At 42.0% G+C, this 3,723-nt stretch overlaps 1 long non-coding RNA gene across 1 annotated transcript; it reads left to right on the forward strand.

The window, feature by feature from the left end:
• The first annotated feature begins 800 nt into the window (after positions 1–800).
• Positions 801–2,970, forward strand: LOC105377306 (uncharacterized). The gene is made up of 3 exons (XR_938933.3): positions 801–938; positions 1,416–1,468; positions 2,845–2,970. It is a non-coding gene; the product is annotated as an uncharacterized LOC105377306 (long non-coding RNA).
• The last annotated feature ends 753 nt before the right edge of the window (positions 2,971–3,723 follow it).

Genomic DNA, 3,723 nt, shown 5'->3' on the forward strand with positions numbered 1-3,723 from the left:
GCTATTATCCCCTATTTCACCCAGCTGGTTTTGTCCCCACAGAGACAATCACTGCAGTGGCATCTTTCAGGAGTCTGGTTGACTCGGGTACTCTGTAAAAAAGTTCCCTGTCCTTGATTCTTGTACTCTTGAGCACCATCAGCTCTGGAGTTTCCATCAGTAAAATAGTTGCTTTTCTTTGACTGGTCAGTCTAAAGCTAACTAACAAATGTGACTCACATCCCCTCTTTTATTCCTTCTGGGATAAATTCTGAAATATGAAAGGGAGCTATGTTACCATGCAAGTGTGACATTAAGTAATGACAGCCCTAAAAAAATCACCATTAACTATGAATGGAATTGCCATATTCTCTCTAAATGCAAGGGTGTTTTTCTCATCATCAGGGATGAGCACTAGAGATGTCTCATGTTTCCAGGGTGATTCTGAGGGGCTGACTTTTCACTTAAAAGGTAAGCTTCATAACTATGATCACATCTTTTCCCATGTAATTAGACAATTGCATCTGACTACTGACTAATGACAACAGTATTTTTGCTCCCTCCTCTTCCAAGCACACCCACAGACCCACAGACTCCAACTTAAGGATAGTTCAACTTCAAAGTTTTCAAATTTACAATGGGTTTGTCAGAAAGTATCAATGTATTTTCTGTTTATGATATTTTTTACTTATGATGGGTTAATTGAGATGTAACCCCATTATAAGCTCCTGAGGAGGCTCTCCCTGGAGGGATGAGGTGGAGAGTATAAAGACCAGTAAAATAAAAGAGACAGGAATAGAACTTTCCAGGCATAAGGAGGTAATAAATAGAATCACCATGGCAAATCCGGAACAACTAAGAGAGGCTTTTAAAGGCAAGATTGCCTTCTCCAGAAGCTCATTCTTCAAGTCCCCTCCCCATGCAAGCAAAGAAAGGCATGCGCTGTGAAAGTTGCATGGGTGAGATACTACTTCATTCAAATTCTTCATCTTAAAACTGCACAGCAAAGAAGATGTCTTTCCCTGCCTAGAATTTAAAAAATGTGTTTTAAAAATATATTTCCTGTGTACATTTAGTCACTGCATTATTGATCACACCTAGCACATAGTAGGTAGGTAAAGGGTTGTTGGATGACATATATAACGTATGGAACACCCTATGCGTTGCTAATTCCTGCTACCATCTCAGAAAAGAGCTTGAATTTTTTGTCAGTTTCAAGCAACGAAAGCCCCTTGTCACGCAGCTCTTGTGTTTAAGGTCTCCACAAATAGGAAATACCTTCTTGTTTATTTCTTGACCTGTGTGTGACTGTTGTATCTGAAGTTTAGCTCCAGAAATAAAAGAAAAAAAAATCCACAAACAATTTTTTTAAAGACTCTCCCTCAATGCTGTTTGCTGCCACCCTTTTTTTTTTTCCCTTGGCTTCCTTCTTTCAGCATGACATCCTCTCAAACGCTACCTGACAGACTGCTGCAATCACCCTGTGAATGTAAGTAATTTCCTTATTGACAGCCTCCCATTCTCTCTGACATCTGCCAGCACTCCCTGACACTTGAATAAGCATTAAGACATTAACAGTCTGGCACAGGTTTAAGGGCTGGAATAGTAATGCTTGGCAGGCCTGCTGCACAAAGCCACATGCAAAGAGACCCCCACTCATTCAACTCTGCTGTCCTTCTGGTTGGAAAATGTGGCAGAGCCCACAGTAAATGCCGATTATTCGCTTGATTGCTCTGGCATTTCAGTGTCTCCTTAGACAGGCCAGATCATACATTAAAGGAAAAGAAAAGGAAAACACGAAAACGCCTGCTTGTGAGGCAGTGTGAGAAGTGAATGTCAATAAAAAGGCAGGTCTTTGCTCAGTGAGATGAGTTCATATTTTATTTATCTTATTTTAGTTATTGATTTATTTTTTTTGAGATGTAGTCTTGCTCTGTCATCCAGGCTGGGGTGCAGTGGCGCATCTTGGCTCATTGCAACCTCCACCTCCCAGGTTCAAGTGATTTTCCTGCCTCAGCCTCCCGAGTAGCTGGGATTACAGGCACCTGCCACCACATCTGGCTAATTTTTGTATTAGTAGTAGAGACGGGGTTCACCATGTTGGCCAGGCTGGCCTGGAACCCCTGACCTCAAGCAGTCTGCCTGCCTCAGCCTCCCAAAGTGCTAGGATTACAGGCATGAGCCACTGTGCCCGGCCAATATTTTAAAGGGATTGACTTCGAATAGAAGCAAAGTTAAGCTCCCCTAGCATTACAGAACAATTTGCATCATACTTTTTCTTCTGAGAATATCAGATTCTTTCCAAATACTGGCTGGCAAATGCCATCTTTGTGCCATGAATTTCTGAAAGCCAATTTGTGGATCTATACACAGAAAATTATTAGGAAAGAACACCATAGTAGTCTTTGTTGCTAGAATCTGTTCACTGAGCAATGGCAAAGCTATTAACATGCTTGATATTAACCTGCTAAGTGAGTCAGAGAGCTGCTTCCATTCTGTTTTAAGCAGAGCTTGTTTTGGATCAGAAACCTGTAATCTACACAGGTAATGCTGAAGTTAACATCAAAATAAGAGGGACAGAGCTGTTTCTGTGAATGCCACACATTTTCTTGAGTGAAATATGAGTCAATATGACTGCACTTGGGAAACAAAAGAAGAATTAAAATAGGTCTAACAGAAGGTCAAGGTAGTCTGATGAAAGGGTCAGGAAGATGTTTCCTTTGGGCATATTCTGTGGCTCATGAATCTCCTGACATCTTCTGGGGCTAAGAGCCCACATCTTTCTCATTCCTCCATCTGGGCACTGTTAGGACTAGGGGGTGTCACAGAAAACGGTTGCTAGTTGCACAGTGATTCCTTCTGCAGATTGTCTTCATTTCCTTGTTGATTGGTTTGAACCTGGGGTCATTATCTCTGCTTTGCAAATGAAGAAGAGAAAGAAGCTCAAAAAGGACAAGAAACTTTCCCCAAATCGAACAGGTAGTAAGTGATAAAGGCCTAAAATGAACCTGGGTCTTGACTCCTGGGTTGGTGTGTTTCAATCATGTTAACTCCCAGCCCCAGGAAGCTTGGTGAATATTACCAGAGATAGGACATAGCAAATCTGGAAGGACAATGACTACCTGACCAGGGCCAAAAGAGCCGACTGTCTATGACCGTGATTATGCTAACTAATAAGTATCTGAGCAGAAACAGCAAAATCTGTTCTAATCTACCAAAAGAGGCTGCTGAGATGGGCAGGGTGGCTCCCTTCAGACTGAACTCATTCCTTCACAAGCACGCAGGAGAATCAGGGCCAGCCAAGTGGTGCCTGTGGGAGGCGTTTGAGGATGGGTGGCCAGGGAAAGTGAGAGTTTTTAAACTAAATCAAGTGGCTCTTCTGGGTTTGCTCCGAACCTTGAATGTTTTAAGAGTATGGGCTTTGGAGTCGGGGGACCTGAGTTCTGCACCTCACTAGCTGCTTAGGCTGGGCTAAGTTTAGTTAACTAAATCTCATTCTCTTCATTTGTAAAATAGTAATGACAACCATATCTTCCTCAAAGGCTTGTCGTGACAAACTGAGATGAGGTTTGTCAAGTGTTCAGCACAGAAAATGCTCAACATCTCCCTCTGGATGTCCAGCAGTTACTTCAAATGCATCCCCCAAGGCAGTTCATCTTCCATGTAACTATAATAATCACAGTAAAAAGCTACTGGGAGCTGTCTGTGTTCTGTGATTTACACTTATTATCTTATTTAATCCTG

Source organism: Homo sapiens, chromosome 4 (assembly GCF_000001405.40).
Source record: "Homo sapiens chromosome 4, GRCh38.p14 Primary Assembly".
NCBI classification, from domain to species: Eukaryota; Metazoa; Chordata; class Mammalia; order Primates; family Hominidae; genus Homo; species Homo sapiens.